Source organism: Homo sapiens, chromosome 5 (genome assembly GCF_000001405.40).
Source record: "Homo sapiens chromosome 5, GRCh38.p14 Primary Assembly".
NCBI lineage: Eukaryota > Metazoa > Chordata > Mammalia > Primates > Hominidae > Homo > Homo sapiens.
In genome coordinates this window covers 95694607-95716845 of record NC_000005.10, presented here as the reverse complement: position 1 = coordinate 95716845, position 22239 = coordinate 95694607, and the positions used below count along the sequence as shown (strand labels likewise).

The window sequence follows — 22239 nt, the reverse complement described above, 5'->3', positions numbered from 1 at the left end:
GAGAACAGCATGGGAAAATCTCACCCCCATGATTCAGTTACCTCCCACTGGGTCCCTCTCATGACACGTGGGGATTATGGGAGCTGCAATTCGAGATGAAATTTTCTTGGGGACATAGCCAAATCATATCATTCCACCCCTGGCACCTCCCAAATCTCATGTCCCCACATTTCAACGCCAATCATGCCTTCCCAACAGTTCCCCAAAGCCTTAACTCATTTTAGCATTAACTCAAAAGTCCACCAGTCCAAAGTCTCATCTGAGATAAGGCAAGTACCTTCCACCTAGGAGCCTGTAAAATCAAAAGCAAGTTAGTTACTTTCTAGATACAATGGGGGTACAGACATTGGGTAAATATACTATTTCAAATGGGAGAAATTGGCCAAAATGAAGGGGCTACAGGCCCCATGCAAGTCCTAAATCCAGTGGTGCAGTCAAATCTTAAAAGTCTAAAATCATCTCTTTTGACTCCATGTCTCACATGCAGGTCACACTGATGCAAGAGGTGGGCTCCCATGGCATTGGGCAGCTCTGCCCATGTGGCTTTGCAGGGTGTAACCCCCACTCCTGGCTGCTTTCATGGGCTGGCGTTGAGCGTCTGTGGCTTTTCTAGGTGCACGGAGCAAGCTGTCGGTGGATCTACCATTCTGGGGTTTGGAGGATGGCAGCCCTCTTCTCACACCTCCACTAGGCAATGCCCCAGTGGGGTCTCTGTGTGGGGGCTCCCACCCCATATTTCCCTCTGTTACTCTCTATCCTCTCTACTCTCCATCCTCACCAAAGTAACCATCCTGTTGTTTTCACACTTTTGTATTTTTGCCAGTTCTGGTGGACAGTGAGTCATAGTGATTTTCATTTGCATTTCCTTGACAACAATAAGATTGGCTTTATTAGTCATTTGGATTTGTCTTTTTATGTGGTATCTGTTGAAATCTTTTGTCCGTATTTTACATTGAGTGGTTTTTGTTCTTGATCTGAACAAATTCTTTCTGTATTCTAGATTTTAGTTTTTGTTAGCTATATCTGTTACATATGGCTTCTCATTCTGTAGTTAATCTTTTAGTTTCTTTGTTTTGCTGAACTGAAGTTCTTTAGTTTAATGAAATCAAATTTATCAATATTTTCCTTTATAAGTAGGACTTTTTCTGTCTTGTTAAAGAAATTCTTCCCTACCCTGAGATCATAAAATTTTTTCTATATTATTTTTAGTAGTGTTATATTTTGCCTCTCACATGTAGGTATTTAATCTACCTGCAAGTAATTTTTATACATAACACAAAACAGGAAAACAATTTTCTTTTTCTCCACATGGATATTCTATTGTTTGAATTTCATTTTTTGAAAAGAGTTTCCTTTCCCTGTTGCTCTGCAGTGTCATCTACTTCATGTGTTAAGTGTCTGTGCTTTTCTATTCGTCTACTTGGTTATCCTGTCAATACTATGCTGCCTTAATTATTTCACCTTTGAAAAATATGTCTTGTCTTGGCCCTTTGCAATCTTACATAATTTTTTTTTTTTTTTTTGAGATGGAATCTCTCTCTGTCCCCAGGCTGGAGTGCAGTGGCATGATCTCAGCTCACTGTCACCTCTGCCTCCCGGGTTCATGCCATTCTCCTGCCTCAGCCTCCCGAATAGCTGGGACTACAGGCATGCACCACCACGCCCAGCTAATTTTTGTATTTTCAGTAGAGATGGGGTTTCACCATGTTGGCCAGGGTGGTCTTGATCTCCTGACCTCGTGAACTGCCCGCCTTGGCCTCCCAAAGTGCTGGGATTACAGGTATTAGCCACCACACCCGGCCACAATCTTACATAAATTTTATAATCAGACTGTCAAGTTACACAAAGAAAAGAAGTTAAGATTTTAATTGGGATTGCATTAAGTCTATGAATTAATATGGGATTCAGTTTTCCAATTTATGAACATAGTATATATCTCTTCACTTATTTAAGTCTTCTTTAATGTTCTTCAATAATGTTTTATTCCTACATACTGGATATTTTTAGATGTTATTATAAAGGGAATATGAAGGGAATCCATTTCCTATTTCATCATCTACCTCTTTCTTATTGGTGTATAAAAATACAGTGATTTTTTTTTTTTTTTTTGAAATTGATTTGCCCTCATAACTCTGCTAAGTCCCATTATTAATTCTAATAATTAAGACAAACTTCCTCAAAGTTTGTTAAAAATGATTCTCTCTTTCTTAAATGCCATTCATTTCTCAACTCACTACAAACAAATTTTCTTCCTCCACCACTCCGGTCACACTGCTGTTTCAAGGTCACCAACAGCCTTCAAATTGCCCAATCCGAAGGACACTCCTTAGCTTTCTCAAGAGCTTGCAGACCTTTCCCCCTTTTTGAAATGCCATCTTTTTTTCCTTCTATTGCAAAACACTTTTGTTTTTTCAACTTCTCTGCTACAGGATTACTTGTTCAGTCAGTCTCCTACATGTTGATGTTTCTTCGGGTTCTGTCCTAGACTCTTTTCTCTCCTCTTGCTATACATTGTTCCTCCTGGAGCCCTTTCATCTGCTCTCATGGCTTCAGTGATTGCTCCTACATTGATGACTCTCAGATTTCAAATTATCAGATCCCATATTACTCTCTTGAGCCTCGAGCCTGTATATCCAATTGCCTAGTCATCCCCAGTTGATCCTTCCCCAGCAAGCTTAATAATAAAAATTAGCTAACTTTGTCTAAAAATAATATATTTATGCAAACTCAGCATGTATGGAATTTATATTACCCAAGGCAAATATAAAAGAAAAATAAAATAGAGATATAAAAAATTAGGGAAAAGGGATAAAATCATCATTTTCAGATGATATGATTGTATGCCTGGAAGTCCCAAGAGACTTTAAAGTCAAAATATTAAACAAATATTAATAAAGGTATACTTTGCATACAAAATTATATATATATATGCACATGTGTATTTGTGTGCATATAAAACAATAAATATTGTTGAAGGTTTGGATAATGTATTCAGAGTTTCTGTTTAGAAGATAAGATTGAGAAGAGGAGAAATTGTCCTCTTTTCTAGTTACTGAAGAAAAAAAAACATTGGAATTTAAGAATTTACTTAAATGATGAAAGGAATGAGAAGGGAGAGAAACAACTTAATTTACCTGTCTGATGTAAAGGAGATCTACCTTAGATTATCTACTGGTGTGTTAGTCTCTTCTCACACACTATAAAGACATACCTGCGACTAGGTAATTTATAAAGAAAAGAGATTTAATGGCTCACAATTCTGCAGGCTGTACAGGATTCTGCTTCTGGGGAGGCCTCAGGAAATTTCCAATCATGGCAGAAGGTGAAAAGGAAGGAGGCACGTCTCCACCCATTTGTGGCTGGAGCAGGAGGAAGGGAGGGAAGGGGGAGGTGCTACACACTTTTAACCAACCAGATCTCCTGAGAACTCACTCACTGTCACAAGATCAGCAAGGGGGAAATCCACCGCCATGATCCAATCACCTCCCACCGGGCCCCTCCTCCAACACTGGGAATTACAATTCGACATGAGATTTGGGTGGGGACACAAATCCAAACCATATCAACTGGGCAGTTCCTCTAGGAAGTAAGTGAATCCACTCCTTATTCAGGAAGACTTCATAGCTTGATGGACTCAAGTGGGCCATTAAAGGATCTGTTACAAACCAGTCTAAAAAAAGGTCTGGGACATGGGTTTTTGTTTTTGCTGGGAGTGGGAGAATCAACAGGAAAACCAACTAAAACAAATTGAAAAATTAAGTAAATTGTCTGGGAACAAATGTATGCATGCATAATCTATATATGTAAACAACACCCACTTGCAAACTTAATAGGAGAATATATTTCACTTACAGTAATAACAAAAAGGATAAAATCTCTTGGAATGCAGCTAACAGGAAATGCATGAGATCTATATGAAGAAAACTTTAAACATTGATAAAAAAAGCAATTAAAAAAACTGAACATGGAAAAGGCATTCCCTGTTTGTTCTAGTTACTATTAAGATAACAAATAAAATTATCCTAAAGTTTAGGGGCTTAAAACAGCCATTTCATTTTACTGACAAATTCTGTGGGTCAGAGGTTAGACAGAACACAATAGGAATGGCTTTTATCGGCTCCATGATGTCTGGGGCCTCAGGTGGGAAAACTCAAATGACTTGTGGTGATTCAACATCTTCAAGTGGCCCAGTGACTCAGGCTGGAATCATCCTGAGGCACCTTCACTTTCTTGTCTGACAGTTGATGCTTGCGGTTGGCTAGGACTTCAGCTGGGGCTGATAACCAGATGCCCTACACACACCCTGCCCTTGCATTCCTCACAGCATAGAGGCCTCAGGGTAGTTGGACATCTTACATGGTGGCTCAGGGGGTACAGAAGTGAGTGTGCCAGTGAACAAGGAGAAAGTTGCATCACTTTTTACAACCTAGTCTTAGAATTCACACAGTGTCACTTCAGCTGCATTCTACCAGTTACAACTCAGAGACAAGATGGCTCAGGTTAAAGGGGCGAGGACATAGACCCCATTTCTTAATGAGAGGAGTATCAAGGCCACATTGTGGGATAGGAAATATTGTTGCAGCATCTTTGGAAAACGTAATCTGACATGCATGTTCTTGGATGAAACAGCTTGCCATCATTTGAATCTCAATTTTTTATTAGTTAATATATAAATCTTATGTGAATGTCCCCACGCCCAACTTACATGTAATTGTTGTCCAGTACTTTAGCATTCTTTTTTTTAACTGTAAAACTTAGTCATTTATGGAGTCCCGGCCTTGCAAGGGTTGGAGCCCCCTCCAGTGCATGCTGAAAAATTTTTCTCTTGGTTTCTCAGAGGATTATGGAGTCCGCCTTAAGAAAGGCAAGCTCCGGACACTCTGTAAAGTAGAATGGCCCAAGTTTGGAGTTGGGTGGCCCTCTGAAGGGTCATTGAATCCTACAATTGTTCAAGCCGTGTGGCGGGTTGTTACCCAAGCTCCCGGCTATCCTAATCAGGTTCCCTGTAAAAATCAATGGTTAAGTTTGGTCAGGAATCCTCCTCCATGGCTCCGTTCATGCGCCATTCACAATTCCACCTCCAAAGTCCTCCTGAGCCAGGCCGCGTTTTCGCCTCAACCCTCTGCCGGTTCGGCTCCCCCTGTACTGCCTCCCTCTGAAGAAGAGGAGAGTCTCCCTCACCCAGTCCCACCGCCTTACAACCAACTTGCTCCCTTAGGGTCGTCCCATATCTCCTTGACGACGTCCCCTGTGGGCTCGCCACCCATTGCCTCTCGACTGCGGCCGCGGCGGGAGGAAGCAGCCCCTCTACTACCACTGAGAGAGGCACAAGTCCCTCCGGGTGATGAGCGCTCAGCCCCCTTCTTGGTTTATGTCCCTTTTTCTACTTCTGACTTGTATAATTGGAAAACCCAAAATCCTGCCTTCTCTGAAAAGCCCCAGGCTTTGACCTCACTGTTGGAGTCCATACTCCAGACCCATCGGCCCACCTGGGATGACTGCCAACCGCTCCTTTTAACTCTCTTTACCTCTGAGGAGAGGGAGCGTATCTGGAGAGAGGCCAGAAAGCACTTCCTTGCATCAGCCAATAGACCGGAGGAGGAAGCTAGAGACCTCCTTGAGAAGGTCTTTTCCTCTACCCGGCCTAACTGGGACCCAAATTCCTCAAGTGGAACGAGAACTTTGGACGATTTTCACTGGTATCTCCTCACGGGTATTAAGGGAGCCGCTCGGAAACCCATAAACTTGTCTAAGGCGACTGAAGTCATCCAGGGGCCCGATGAGTCACCAGGAGCGTTTTTAGAGCACCTCCGGGAGGCTTATCGGATTTACACCCCTTTTGACCCGGCGGCCCCCGAAAATAGCCGTGCTCTTAATTTGGCATTTGTGGCTCAGGCAGCCCCAGATATTAAAAGAAAACTCCAAAAACTGGAGGGATTTGCTGGAATGAATATCAGTCAGCTTTTAGAAATAGCCCAAAAGGTTTTTGACAACCAAGAGTTTGAAAAACAAAAACAAGCAACACAGGCAGCTGAAAAGGCTGCTGATAAAGCATTCAAAGGACAAACAAAAATCTTAGTGGCGGCTATCCAAGAGGTACAGAATGAAATGGCCCGTTAATTTGGACAGACACAGAAGAACAGGCTTTTCGAAACCTGAAAAAGGCATTAACTGAAGCCTCTGCTTTAGCCCTCCCTAATATCTCAAAGCCGTTTCACCTGTTTGTCCATGAAAGCCAGGGAGTTGCTAAAGGGGTGCTTACTCAGACTTTAGGACCCTGGAGACGCCCAGTGGCCTATTTATCTAAGAGACTGGATCCCGTGGCCTCTGGATGGCCAAGTTGCCTGCGAGCAGTAGCAGCTACAGCAAGCCTAGTCCAAGAGGCTGATAAGTTAACTCTGGGCCAAAATTTAACCCTTACAACTCCTCATGCCATAGAGACTTTACTTCAAAGTGCTTCTGGCAAATGGATGTCAAATGCTCGCATCCTGCAGTATCAGTTTACTGTTAGATCAGCCTCGTTTGACTTTCTCTCCCACATGGTGTTTGAATCCAGCTACTATCCATGACTGTCAGGAACTGTTAGAAACTACCGAAACTGGCCCACCCAATCTTCAAGATATGCCCCTAGAGAAGGTGGACGCCACTGTGTTCACAGACAGTAGCAGCTTTCTCGAGCAGGGAGTATGAAAGGCCGGTGCAGCTGTTACCATGGAGACAGATGTGCCGTGGGCTCAGGCTTTACAAGCAAACACCTCAGCGCAAAAAGCTGAATTGATGGCCCTCACTCAGGCTCTCCGATGGGGTAAGGATAAACGTATTAACGTTTACACTGACAGCAGGTACACCTTTGCTACTGTGCATGTACATGGAGCCATCTACCAGGAGCGCAGGCTACTCACCTCAGCAGGAAAGGCTATCAAAAACAAAGAAGAATCCCCCATCTTCAAAGCCTAACAGATCAAGCAGCTCTCCAGTGCACAACCTGCGCCCAGGTAAATGCCAAGCAAGGTCCTAAACCCAGCCCAGGCCACTGTCTCCGAAAAAACTTGCCAGAAGAAAAGTGTGAAATTGACTTTACAGAAGTAAAACCACACCGGGCTGGGTACAAATACCTTCTAGTACTAGTAGACACCTTCTCTGGATGGACTGAAGCATTTGCTACCAAAAACGAAACTGCCAATACGGTAGTTAAGTTCTTATTTAATGAAATCATCCCTTGATACGGGCTGCCTGCTGCCATAGGGTCTGATAATGGACCTGCCTTCACCTCGTCCATAGCTCGGTGGGTCAGTAAGACGTTAAACATTCAGTGGAAGTTCCATTGTGCCTATTGACCCCAGAGCTCTGGGCAGGTAGAATGCATGAACTGCACCCTAAAAAACACTTTTACAAAATTAATTTTAAAAACCGGTGAAAATTGGGTGAGTCTCCTTCCTTTAGCCCTACTTAAGAGTAAGGTGCACCCCTTATCAGGCTGGGTCATCGCCTTTTGAAATTATGTATGGGCAGGCGCCACCTATCTTGCCTAAGCTAAGAGATGCCCATTTGGCAGAAATATCACAAGCTAATTTATTGCAGTGCCTACAGTCTCTCCAAGAGGTACAAGATATTATTCTGCCACTTGTTCGAGGAGCCCATCCCAATCCAATTCCTGAACAGATGGGGCCCTGCCATTCATTCCAGCCAGGAGACCTAGTGTTTATTAAAAAGTTCCAGAGAGAAGGACTCACTCCTGCTTGGAAGGGACCTCACACCGTCATCCTCACGATGCCAACGGCTCTGAAGGCGGATTGAATTCCTGCTTGGATTCATCACTCCCACATCAAAAAGGCCAACAGAGCCCAACTAGAAACATGGGTCCCCAAGGCTGGATCAGGCCCCTTAAAACTGCGCCTAAGTCGGGTGAAACTGTTAGATTAATTCTTTTTATTTACTTCTCTTGTTTGTTTTCACCTATTATGTCCTCCGTGCCTTCCTACTCCTTCCTCCTCACCTCTTTCACAACAGGACGTGTATTCGTCAACACTACTTGGAGGGCCGGTACTTCCAAGGAAGTCACCTTTGCAGTCGATCTATGTGCACTGTTCTCAGAGCCAGCTCGCACCCATGAAGAACAACACAACTTACCGGTCATAGGAGCAGAAAGTGTCAACCTTGCAGCAGGATTTGGACACTCTGGGAGCCAAACTGGATGTGGAAGCTCCAAAGGTACAGAAAAAGAACTCCAAAATGTTGACTTTTACCTCTGTCCTGGGAATCACCCTGACGCTAGCTGTCGAGATACTTATCAGTTTTTCTGCCCTGATTGGACATTTGTAACTTTAGCCACCTACTTTGGGGGATCAACCAGATCTTCATTCTATAACTCGTGCTCCTTGTCCTAAATTATGTACTAGAAAAAATTGTAATCCTCTTACTATAACTGTCCATGACCCTAATTCAACTCAATAATATTATGGCATGTCATGGGAATTAAGATTTCATATCCCAGGATTTAATGTTGGCACTATGTTCACCATCCAAAAAAAAAATCCTGGTCTCATGGAGCCCATGCAAGCCAATCCGGCCTTTGACTGCTCTAGGTGACCCTATGTTCCAGAAACCCCCTGACAAAGTTGATTTAACTGTTCCTCCACCATTCTTAGTCATAAAAGATACACTCCAAAAGTTCGAGAAAATCTAGATAGGCACCAACAGGAACGAGAAAATAACATCCCCTGGTATCAAAACATGTTCAACTGGAACCCCTGGCTAACTACTTTAATCAGAGTTAGCTGGACCTCTCCTCATCATACTATTAACTTTAATTTTTGGGCCTTGTATATTAAATTGGTTTCTTAATTTTGTAAAACAATGCATAGCTTCTGTCAAACTTATGTATCTTAAGACTCAATATAACCCCCTTGTTATAACTGAGGAATCAACGATTTGATTCCCCAAAAACACAAGTGGGGAATGTAATGCCCAACCTGGTTTTTACTAACTCTGTTTTTAGACTCTCCCTTTTCCTTTAATCACCTAGCCTTCTTTCCACCTGAATTGACTCTCCCTTAGCTAAGAGAGCCAGACAGACTCCATCTTGGCTCTTTCACTGGCAGCTCCCTCCTCAAGGACTTAACTTGTGCAAGCTGACTCCCAGCACGTCCAAGAATGCAATTAACTGATAAGATACTGTGGCAAGCTATATCAGCAGTTCCCAGGAATTCATCTGATTGATAACGCCCAAAGCCCCGGGTCTATCACCTTGTAATAGTCTTAAAGCCCCTGCACCTGGAACGGTTTACGTTCCTGTAACCATTTATCCTTTTAACTTTTTGACTACTTTACTTCTGTAAAATTGTTTTAACTAGGCCCCCCGCCTTCCTAAACCAAGGTATAAAAGTTAATCAAGCCCCTTCCTCGGGGCCGAGAGAATTTTGAGCATTAGCCGTCTCTCGGTCGCCGGCTAATAAAGGACTCTTAATTCGTCTCAGTGTGGCATTTTTCTAACTCGCTCGGGTACAACAATTATTCTTGTTCTAAAGGTCCATGTCTGTTTTAACTAATCCATGTGTTAATCACTCTCTTTTCTTATCATTCTTTCTCACATTCATTCTTCCTCCAAGATTTCCTTGTTCCTAATATTCCTCCTTTAGTAGTTCTTTCACAGCTAGGGCTTATTCATGGTAAATTCTTCTGATTTCTGTCTGAAAATAAGCTTTCATTTCACTTTTATTCTTGAATGATAATTTAGCTGACTTAAGAATTCTAAGATTCACTAATGTTAGTTTCTGATTTACATATTTTTACTAAAAAATGCTTTTCTATCAAAATACCCTCAGGGCCAAAAACAGTAGGGTCAAAATGACAAAATCAAACTCTACATTGCCCTGTTATGTTATACAAGTAACTTGAGAAGACTTGTTTCTGATAGCAGGGATCTTATTGTCTCTTTAATATTAAAGTCAAAATATTAAACAAATATTAATAAAGGTATACTTTGCATACAAAATTATATATATATATGCAAATGTGGCATTTGTGTGCATATAAAACAATAAATATTGTTGAAGGATTAGATAATGTATTCAGAGTTTCTGTTTAGATAAGACTGAGAAGGGGAGAAATTGTCCTCTTTTCTAGTTACTGAAGAAAAAAATTATAATTTAAGAATTTACTTAAATGATGAAAGGAATGAGAAGGGAGAGAAACAACTTAATTTACCTGTCTGATGTAAAGGAGATCTACCTTAGATTATCTACTGGTGTGTTAGTCTCTTCTCACACACTATAAAGACATACCTGCGACTAGGTAATTTATAAAGAAAAGAGATTTAATTGGCTCACAATTCTGCAGGCTGTACAGGATTCTGCTTCTGGGGAGGCCTCAGGAAATTTCTAATCATGGCAGAAGGTGAAAAGGAAGCAGGCACGACTCCACCCATTTGTGGCTGGAGCAGGAGGAAGGGAGGGAAGGGGGAGGTGCTACACACTTTTAACCAACCAGATCTCCTGAGAACTCACTCACTATCACAAGATCAGCAAGGGGGAAATCCACCGCCATGATCCAATCACCTCCCACCGGGCCCCTCCTCCAACACTGGGAATTACAATTCGACATGAGATTTGGGTGGGGACACAAATCCAAACCATATGAACTGGGCAGTTCCTCTAGGAAGTAAGTGAATCCACTCCTTATTCAGGAAGACTTCATAGCTTGATGGACTCAAGTGGGCCATTAAAGGATCTGTTACAAACCAGTCTAAAAAAAGGTCTGGGACATGGGTTTTTGTTTTTGCTGGGAGTGGGAGGAGGTCCATGGATGTGTTTTAGGAATTGTTGAACCCCAAAACATTATAGGTAACATTTTGTCTTTTCTCCCTTTCTCCTCCCAGCATCCTTTACTTTCCTTACAGAAACAGAAAAGTAAGGAGATAGCTAAATCCTTTTGGAATATCAAAAAAGAAAATCTGGGAAGGTTTCTGAGTAATAAAAACCCATGGAAAAACACTAGAGATATAATTCTGTTGAGATAGATTTTGACCAACTCTTTTGTTGAGATGTCAGTTAATGTTTGTGTGTTTCTTGACAGTTATTAGCTGTAAAATAATCATTGAAAATGAAAAGGCTTTTCATATTGAAGTAAAAAACTGGGTAACTATTACATTACAGTAAAATTTAATCTAGTTTATAATCATTATAGAGTTGGGTTTAAAGCAAGCTCCCCACAAATACTCAATTCATTTTCTTTTTATAAAGTTATATTAGAGGAGTGTACTTCATACACATTATTACCAGCTGACCTTTACTGAATTTTTAAAGAAAAATTTTAATCACTTAGTTCTGTACATAAAACTGAAAAAGTTGAAAATCAGAGAACTTTTTGTTGTGATTAAACCATTAATATATTTTTAAATGGTCATTGACATGCTAGTAACATGGAATTATTGAATTTCATGAATGAAATACTTAATTATATATGCTATGGATTAAATTATGGTGTCCCCTCCAAAATTCACGTTGAAACTTTATCCCCAATGCAACCATATTAAGGGATGTGGCCTTTGGCAGGTGATTAAGTCATAAGTACTCCAACCTGGCTAGGCATGGTGGCTCACGCCTGTAATCGCAGCACTTTAGGAGGCTGAGGTGGGCAAATCATTGAGCCTAGGAGTTTGAGACCAGCTTGGGCAACATAGCAAAACTCTATCTCTACAAAAAATACGAAAAATAAAAATAAATAAATAAATAAAATAGCCAGGTGCAGTGGTGTGCATCTGTAGTTCCAGCTGCTTGGGAAGCAAAAGTGGGAGGATCACTTGAGCCTGGGAGGTTGAGGCTGCAGTGAGCTGAGATCTTGCCATTGCACTCCAGCCTGGGTGACAGAGGGAGACTCTGTCTCAAAAAAAAAAAAAAGTACTCTATCCTCATGTATGGGATTAATACCCCTATAAAAGGGCTCAAGTTTGAAGGGTACACTCTCTTGACCCTCTGTCTCATCCACTATATGAGGATGCAGCATTCTTCCCTTCCAGAGGATGCAGCAATAAGGCACCATCTTGGAAAAGGAGACTGATCCTCAAAAAATGTCAGTGCCTCAATCTTGGACTTCCCAGCCTCTAAAACGGTGAGAAATAAATTTCTGTTCTTTATAAATTACCCAGTCTCAGGTACTATGTTATAGCAGCACAAATGGACTAAGGCAATATATTTATTTATTTATTTATTTTTAAGGCAATATATTTATAAGGAACATATTATGGGGCTGGTTTTAACTCTTTAATTGATACTTTATTTTATTAATCATTTAAAGGAGACCTATATTTTATTTAAAACTATTTTTATAGATTGACATGTAACATTCTATACATGAGTCTAAATAAAATAATTATAAAAGTTAAGTGGAAAAAATTACTACCTCCTATCAACTATTTCATATTAATCTGTTTTGATTCCACAGAAAGATTTGCCATCTCCTTAGACTAGCAGCTGCTACAGTCATGTGTCTGCCACGTGTCCTTAGACTGTCTAATACCCAGAGCTAATAGAATAGATTATTTAGGAACAAAAACAAACAGAGGGGTCAGACAGAGAGCTATTTTTCCAATGAAAGAATTTATACATTTTGTAATACACAAACATGAAAAATATTGCATTCAGGGGTTGCAAATGAAAGAAAAATCTAGAGAAATGTAGAGAATAATGAAAACTATTTCCAAGGTCAAAACCATCAGATCTCTGCCAGACTCTTTTTTCACTTACATCAAAGTGAGACTGTGTGTTTGTGTGTGTGTGTGTGTATGTGTGTATATGCACTGTGAGGGAGACAGTCTTCTATTTGTGTATCTGCATGCACGTTTGTCAGTGTTTGTGTGTCTGTTGGGTCTTGAATGTAGAATACAGGAAGGGGATGATTGTGGTATAAAATGAAAAAGTCCATTTCTATTGGAGTCTATCTTCCATGTGTAAGAAAAAAGAAATATATTTTAATTACCCAAAACTCTGAACAATATGTGAATAATTGATGATTTAATGCCTATAGGTTTTTAATTTTTATGAAACTATTTTATTACAAAAGAAATACATGTTTACTATTTTGTTTCAAATAAATAATCCAACCACCCATTGATAATCACTTGATATGTACATTTCCATATATTTTTATGAATATATGATATATATCCTTCCAGATATTTTTGAAAAATGAATTTTTTTTTTTTACTTTTTTTTGAGATGGGCTCTCACTCTGATTGCCCAGGCTGGAATGCAGTGGTGCAATCTCGGCCCACTGCAGCCTCCACCTCCCAGGTTAAAGCAATTTTCCTGCCTCAGCCTCCCAAGTAGCTGCGACTACTGGCGTGTGGCACCAGGCCCAGCTAATTTCTGTATTTTTAGTGTAGACAAGGTTTCACCATTTTGGCCAGGCTGGTCTCGAACTCATGACCTCAAGGGATCCACCTGTCTCGGCCTCCAAAAGTGCTGGGATTACAGGCATAAACCACTGTGCCTGGCCCTAAATAAACCATTTTTTAAACAATGTAGCATGGAGTCAATAAATACTTTTTCATTCTATCCCTAATACATAGCACAGCATGGTAGACATTCAGAAAGTATCTGTTAAAGAAACAGAGAAATACTTTGTGATCATCTGTATAAGTTCTTTGCCATTTTCCCTAATTTCAAATGTTTTTGTACTCATTTATAAATTCCATATGAAGTGAGGATTTTAGCCCTTTGCTAAATATGTTCCAAATACTGTTTTCCCCTGCTTATACTTAAACTTTCCTTTACCAAAAGAACAGAAAATAATACTCAAACATATAGTTAGACTTAGTCAAATGAAAAATACTTCAGATTTAATGCAAATGGTACTTTATAGGAAATTTTAAAGAAATAAATGAAGTCAATGCAAACTATAGGAGTGAAGTGCTGCATGTTCCGCAGTAGAGTTTTTGCTCTCTTTCTTTTTTATTTTTGTTTTTTTGAAGCAGAGTCTTGCTCTATCACCCAGGCTGCAATGTAGTGGTGCAATCATTGCTCAGTGCAGCTTCAAACTCATGGGCTCAAGCAAACCTCCTTCCTAAACTTCCAGAGTAACTAGGACTATAGGTGTGTGCCACCATGCCCAGTTGATTTATAAAACTTTTTTTTTGTAGGGATGGGGTATTGCTATGTTGCCCAGGCTTGTCTGGAACTTCTGGTCTCTAGTGGTGGTCCTGCATTGGCCTCTGAAAGTGCTGGGATTACAGGTGTGAGCCACTGTGCCTGGCCTCTGACTATTTAAATAAAGATACAGGAATGACTCTTAGATGGTAATGTAGAATATATCTAAGAGCAGCAAATTTTTGAGTTAGACAAATTGGTTCTTATTTTATTTCTGCCCCTGGGCAGCTGAGTGGTAGAGTAAAGTCGCTTGATGCCTCTGAGCTTCTGTAAACTGGGGACACTCAGGCCTCTCTCCCAGAGTTGTGCCTGGAAGTGCTCTGCAAATGGTCTCTATGTGAATTCTATCCCTTGATGGATATTTCCAAATCAGATACGTATTTTTAAATATGAGGACAAACTACTTTTTGAGCCCCAGGATGTGCTGTGGTTCTCTACCAAAAATTTGAAGATAACATGAAAAATTGTGTGTGTGTGTGTGTGTGTTTTGGTTTTGCCATAATTTTTTTTTAACACCTGGGCTTTATGGTGTCATGTTTTACTCCTCTTAGTGAGAAGGCTTTTTGGTTTCTTCCCCTACTGACTCTGTTGACTGAAAGCAAGTACTATGTGCTCTTAAGTTTCCTCTTGAGAGAATTTTGGTATCATGAAATGGAAGTACTAGTACAGTTTAAAATGGAAAAGGCTACTGAACAATCCTTTAAGGATTTAAATATACTCCATTAACTTTTGTTCAGTAAAAGAATATCATCAAATTATGTAATCCGCTATTGTTGTTACTGTTTTTTTCTAGAACATTACTGAATTAGAAATGTAGCTTTATGATTGCTGTGTATTGCCATCAATCTGTAAAACATATGAAGTCTGTCAAGCTCTCAAATGTAACTGTTGTACAAAGTCTACATCTCATGGCAACTTTCACAAAGTGGTGTTTTCTCAGCATGCAAATATTTGTTCTGACACTGATCTTACTTATAGGGATTTTCTAACATTTTGTCTAAGCACAAAAGCTTTCACTATTTTCATGAAATAAATTATAGACCTGTTGGGGGGATCTAGTATATAAATGATTTTCTTGACAACTAGCTTAATATTATTTTCTTCCTAAACTGAGGATGCTTTCTCTTTGTCTAGCCAAGATCAGAATACTACAGATTTGGATTTAAGTGAGTGGGAATGAAGCTCAATACTAATATACTGTATGCTACCAGTATAGATGTTTTAGTTAAAATATTATTAAAACAATATGATAAAAAATATTTTTATTACAAAAAATGGTAGATTTTTTGTTAGAGCAACTATGGATTAGTTTATTTTCTCCTTACCAAAGGTTTACAAAGTCCTCTTGGAGAAGCAGATTCCTGTGGGAACCTGGTTAAATCTCCCAAGCTAGCAGTGTTTTTACTACAATAAGACAGTGATTAATTGTGTCCCACTGGGCACTGTCCTGATAAGGTAAGAGACTGAGCCTGCTTCCAAAGAATTATTGCAGTTGCCACAATTTTCTGCTTTATATCAAGAGGTTAAGTGACCTAGGAATTAGAATTCTAGAATTGTAGAATTTCAGAGTTATAAGGGACTTCAGAAATGATAACTCACATTTTACAGATAAAGTACTGTAAAATACATATGTGTTACTTGTTAATTAACTATTTTAAAAATCTTTGTGGCCTTTGCTATAATGTTTGAACATTAGGGAGTATCAGTAAACTACAAAATTTGTTTTTTCAAATTCTTGTGGTGTGGATTCTTCACCTCATCTAAGTAACTGAAGTGATAAAAAGGAAAATATTTTAAGAAATAAAGATGAAAATTATATGAATCCATATATGTGATAACATGGCTTAGAACTACACTCATACCACACACTAGTACATGTAAAACTGGTGAAATCCGAATCAAGTCAGTGGTTTATAGCAATGTCAAGTTCCTGGTTTTGATATTGTACTATAGTTATATAAGATGTAGTTATTGGGGCCGGGCACAGTGCCTCATGCCTGTAATCCCAGCACTTTGGGAGGCCGAGGTGGGCAGATCGCTGAGGCCAGGAGTTTGAGACCAGCCTGGCCAACATGGCAAAATCCCATCTCTAAAAAAAATTTTTGGCCAGGCGCGGTGGCTCAAGTCTGTAATCCCAGCGCTTTGGGAGGCTGAGGCGGGCATATCACGAGGTCAGGAGATCAAGACCAGCCTGACCGACGTGGTGAAACCCTGTCTCTATGAAAAATATAAAAATTAGCCAGCCATGGTGGCGCGTGCCTGTAATCCCAGCTACTCTGGAGGCTGAGGCAGGAGAATCGCTTGAACCTGGGAGGTGGAGGTTGCAATGAGCTGAGATTGCATCACTGCACTCCAGTCTGGGTGATGGAGTGAGACTCCATCTAAACAAAAAAAAAAATTTTTTTTAAATGTAGTTATTGGGGGAAACTGCATGAAGGGCAAATGGGCACCCACTACTATCTAAAATAAAAATTTTAAAATATAGATAGCTACTATGAAATTGCTTTATTGACATGATTAAATATTATAAACTATAGGTGGTTAGAATTTAATATAAAAATAATTACAACATGAGACACTGCTTTAGCTTTCACCCCTTTGATCATTCCTCATGACTCCCTGTTAATATTTTCATAAGTTTTTTCTTCTTGACGCTCTTCATAGAAAACTAATTAATATCCATGGTTTCAGGGGCTAGCTCTATGTTGGAGTCCCCAGATCTTTCTGTCTGGCCCAGATGTCCCATTCAAACTCCAACTCGTTACTAGATTGCTCTTGCTAGATCTTTGCATGGTGTCTGACACAAAGTAGGCTTTCAAGAAATATTAGATGAATGAATGAATAACTTTTCAAATAACTATAAGATATTTGTACTTGAAACTCTCAGAGTCTTCTAAATTCAAAATATAGCAAAACAAAACCAGTATTTCTTCCCACTATGCTCACCCACCAAACTTGCTCACTCTGGCAATTTCCGTATTTCTCCCATTTCTACTATTTTCCAATCCAACTAAGCCTTTAAAATGTAAGCTGCCTTGGACTCTTCCTTCACTTTTATTTACCATATATGTCTAAGCAGTTATCTCTTATGTCCATTTTCCTCTCAAATATCCTTTATATTTGTCCCTTCTATTTCATTTCTATGGCTACTGTGTTAGCATTTTTTGTTGATATTGCTAAATGTTTCTCATTTTTCTCCCTGTTCTTAGTCTTGATTCCTCTTCAGTCTATTTTGTGCACTAGTTCCTGGTAAATGTTTCCCATTGGCCAGGTCACCACACTAAGAGCATGATCATAATTCTTGATGCTACCTATGGAGTGCTGATTGTATACCAGGCACTGTGATACTTACTGTACATATATTATCTCATTTACTCTTTATGATAGCCCTGTAAAGTAGGCATGATTTATCCCCATTTTATAGATGAGAAAACCGACGGTCCAAGAGATTTACAAATGTGCCACATTATTTAAGTAGCAGAGCCAGGATATGAACTCAGGTTAGCCTGGTTACAATCATTATGAAACACCATTCTCCTAAATATAAATACATTTTGTTCCTTCATTAAAATATACCCAGCAGAACCTCAACCTGGCAAAAATAGAAGCTCAATGAATCGCAGCATTGAAAGCACTTTATTAAATGAGTTGAACTGAGCAGGGTGCATGCTGAAAGCTCCCACTGACCTTCAAGCCTGCGCCTTCCATTTGTTCCAGCTCATAGTGCTCCACTCCCACCCCTTTCAAATCTCAGGGAGATTTTATAGTTATGTTGTTGCATTCAGGTAGTAAATGAATAGTCTTTTTTTTAGTAATTGAGTTGAGTTTGCTGTAATAAATAAATAAATAATGATAATTTTGTTGTTGCTCTCAGGTAATAAGTAGTAGTCTTTTTATTTTTGTAATTGAGTCCAGTTCGATGTAATAAACCAAATGTTAATCTCATTTCATTTAAAACTTCTTCCCATTCCCCGTTGAGTTTTGCTCCAGGCTTGGAAGTCTACAGTGGAAGAGTGAGGGAACTTTGGTCAGCTGCTTTTCCTCTCCTCAGCTCTCCTCCCTCATCGGTTTCTGCTTTTGGCCTCTTCAAAGCTGCAAGAGGGAAGGAGAAAAGGTAAGATAGGAAAAGCTCTTACTTAACTGCATGGTTATGACTGACATTGGTGCCCTTAGGAGTGGCAAATAACCCGAGGTTATTTGTCTCTTGGAAGCCTTCCGGGAACCTTCTACTGCATTTCTGGCCAGATAACAATCTAGTCCCTGAGCGTCTAGGAGTCTGCCTGACACTGCCCCTTCAGATGGAGCCTGCTGTGAGAATTTCAGACTGGCTCCCTTCACAGATGCTTGCATCAAGTCCACAGCTTGCTGTGAACTTAGCCTTCCCTCTCTTTAGTCTAGACCATAACATGCTCATTTCATTCCAGCCCCACTGTCTGCTTATTTTCCTCTCCCACGTTTCCTCCTCTCTGCCAATCTCAATGTAATTCCCATCTGATCGCAGTGCACACCTTTTTCCATGAAGCAATGCCTTATTTATTCCTTCCCACAGTGATTTTCCCAAATGAAAGTCCCAAGCACTCTATTATGTACCAAAAGAAAAAAGAAGAAATCAGTTTTACTTAAGAAGCTTGAGTACATATGTTAAATATTGACCCCAGGGTACACATCATTTTTAACATTCCATGTAATTAAATATGAAGTAGTAGGCATAGGCACTTCTGCTGCTTACTGAAACACATGATTGCCTCAAGGAAATGTACTTGTGTAATTGAGCTGTGAGCTGCTTTTTTTTTTTTCATGGAATGTCATTTTCATGGAATGTCATTTCATGGAATGTCATTTTCACTTGAAAGAATGACTGACAAAAACACCCAACTATGGTTATAGGGAGCTGGGTATTTGGCAGGTATTTTCTCGAATGTAAAAGAAGCGAGTCTGTCATTTCAAGGAAAACAATTGACAGTGTTTATTGCCAATGATAAATGTGAGCTTTAAAGCAAAAATTAGAACTCGGGAAAACTTGCATCCACAATGATGAGCTTGACAATTTGTGGTGGTTTTGTAGCTGTGGCTACACATTCTTCAATACAGCGCCCTACAAGAGACGGAGGTTACCTTCCCTCCCCTTGATTGTGGAGTTGATTGTCTCTAGTGATGAGCTATCATACTGAGATTAGTTATAAAATGACTGTGGCTCCCATCTTGAGCAGACTATCTTGTTCTCTCTCTGTCTCTCTCTCTCTGTGTGTCTCTCCTTGCCACCCCTGTTTCTTTTGAACTGCTCACCATGGGACAATCCGCCAGGTTGTGAGGTGGCCCTGAGAGAGGGAAGCCAGCTGAGGACATACTGAAGCAGTCTATGGAGAGGCCACATGGTAAGGAACTGAGGGTTCCCAGCAACCACGGGAGTGAACTTGGGAGTAGATCTTCTGAAGCAGCCAAAAGGCACACGAGTGAGCTTGGAATTGGACCATCTCTCAGTTGAGTCCTAAGAAGACCATAGCCCAGCCAACAGTTTGACTGCAACCTCTTGAATGATTTCAAGCCAGAACCACCTAGCTAAGCCACTCTTAAATTCCTTACCCAAAGAAACTGTGAGATAACAAAAGTTTATTGTTTTAAGTTGCTGAGTTGGGGTAATTTGCTATGCAAAGATATTGAGAGAACCAATATTATTCAAATAATCAATGCATGATGTTATAAAATTATGCATTAGTAAATGAGCCAAAGTGGAGGATAGATTTATAAATTTTAATGTAACAGAACATAAAAAGTTCACTGATATGGTATTTAGGTTGCACCTAATCTTTAAGAAATTACCGTTTTGTTTTGTTTTGTTTCACTTGGAGACAGGGTCTTGCTCTGTCCCCTGGCTTGGAGTGCAGTGGTGCAATCCTAGCTCTTAGTTCACTGCAACTTTGGACTCCTAGACTCAGTGCTGCTCCCATCTCAGCCACCTGCACACCAGATTAATTCTTTTAATTTGTTGTAAAGACTGGGTCTTGCTATGTTGCTCAGGGTGGTCTCGAACTCCTGACCCCAAGCAGTCCTCTTGCCTCGAGCTCCCAAAGTGCTGGGATTAGAGGCATGAGCCACCGTGCCAAGGCATCATTTGTTGAGTGCTGCTGTAGGATCAAAGAGTAATGCCCACTGTTATCTGGAAAAACTATTACAATACTCCTTTCTTTTACAATTACATATCTGTGTGAAGCAGGATTTTCTTTATGTATTTCACCCAAAACAATGTACTTCAACAGCTTAAATTCAGAAGCAGATATAGAAAACAAATGTTTTCTATGGTACTAGACATTGAAGAGATTTGCAAAAATGCAAACAGTACCACTCAGCTTACTACATTTTTTATTTTAGAAAATAGTTATTTTTCATAGAAAATGTTATTGTTAGTTTTAAATGAATTGTATTAGTTTTATTTTACTATGTAAAAATTACCACAAGATTTAGCAGCTTAAAACAGTTGATATTTATTATCTTATTGTTTCTGTGGGTCAGGAGTCCAGGTGCAGCTTAGTTGGGTATCTCTGGCTCAGGGTCTCTCACAAAGCTATAATTAAGTGTCAGTGGGGTGACAGTCATCTTAAGGCTTCACTGGGTGAGGATCTGTTTTTAAGCTCACTATATGGCTATTGACAGGACCCAGGTCTTCATTGCTGTTGGCCAGAGACATTGGTTCCTTGCCACATGGATCTTTCCATAGGACAGCTCTCAACATGGTAGCTGGTTTTCCTTAGAGAGAGATGGGGATTCAGAGAGAGAAAGAGCGAGCAAGACAGAAGCCACAGCCTTTTTGTAACCTAATATCTGAAGTAACATTCCATCATTTCTGCTGTATTCAAGGGAATTAATAAGTCCAGGCCACACTCAAGGGAAGTGGATTACACCAGGGCATGAAGACCAGGAGGCAGGGATCACTGGGCTATCTAAGAAGCTGCATATCATATGATTTAACAAATATTTCATATATTTCTCAGTGTTTGTTTCTAATAAGATAATTATAAATAGATATAACTCACATAAACAGAAGCTATTAGGGAGTTCTCAACAATATATAAGAGTGTAAATGTGTTTGTTTGTTTGTTTGTTTTTGAGTCAGGGTCTCACTCTATCGCCCAGGCTGGAGTGCAGTGGCGCAATCTCAGCTCACTGCAACCTCCACCTCCTGGGTCCAAGCGATTCTCCTGCCTCAACCTCCCAAGTAGCTGGGAGTGCAGGTGCGTGCCACCACGCCCAGCTAACTTTTGTATTTGTAGTAGAGATAGGGGTTCACCATGTTGGCCAGGCTGGTCTCAAACTCCCGACCTCAAGTGATCTGCCTGCCTCAGCCTCCCAAAGTGCTGGGATTACAGGCGTGAGCCACTGAGCCTGGCCAAACGTGTTTTTAAGACTAAAAAGTTTGAGAACTACTGCTCTAGAAATACAAATATTGACTTGACATGGTAAAGCTGCAGGACATTATTCAGGAGTTGATAATATGTGCCTTACTTTTATTATTATTCATAACCATAAACTCTTACCTACAAAATAGTATTTATAATAGCACTATGAGATACAGAAATTCATATTGAAATATAGTAGCCTTTGTCACATGCATGTATACAGTAGATGTGGTATAAAGACTTCATACTGTATGTACTGTATATTTTTTAACATCTGGAAACACATCACTTAAATTTTTTTAAATGATGCCTATTCCATATATTAAATACTTAGATTAGTAGCTTTCAATAATTAGTGATTTTATTATATTATGATTTTGTTGGATTGGTGTGTTATGTAGCTTCCTCTGGTGCCATCGCTGGACTAAATCTAGAGTTGTCTTGGACAAATAAGAATTATCCTGCCCTCCCTGGTAGAAAGGGGAGGGCAGAGAGCTGTTCTTGTGTCTGTTTCTTTTTAATTGACTTCAGTTCAAAATAATTCTTATGTCAAAGTGGCATATTTTGAAGTGGCATATTCTTCAATCCTTCACATGTAAGAATTATTTTTGTACAAAGTAATTGAGAAATCTCTAAGATGATTGGTTCATATTGGCTGAAAATAAATTTGGTTTCATGGAAAATTTAAATAAATTCACACA

The 22239-nt window shown here is 39.8% G+C and overlaps 1 protein-coding gene across 2 annotated transcripts in view, besides 1 other annotated feature; it reads left to right on the top strand.

Annotated features, from left to right (window-relative positions):
- Positions 1-22239, top strand: part of SPATA9 (spermatogenesis associated 9) — a 79922-nt gene that overhangs the window by 15257 nt on the left and 42426 nt on the right. The window contains exons 4-7 of one of the 2 annotated variants that reach the window (XM_047417809.1): positions 8011-8211; positions 12017-12108; positions 15475-15599; positions 18124-18258. The gene's annotated coding sequence lies outside the window, so the exon portion shown is untranslated. The remainder of the gene's footprint in view (positions 1-8010; positions 8212-12016; positions 12109-15474; positions 15600-18123; positions 18259-22239) is intronic. The other variant, NM_001349303.2, reaches the window with a different exon arrangement.
- Positions 473-646: a silencer, noted in NCBI's record as "fragment chr5:95051904-95052077 (GRCh37/hg19 assembly coordinates)". NCBI's record gives its function as "represses an EF-1alpha promoter that drives an FKBP-Casp9 reporter gene in an ReSE screen in HepG2 liver carcinoma cells {active_cell/tissue: HepG2}" and the evidence as "EXISTENCE:reporter gene assay evidence [ECO:0000049][PMID:32094911]".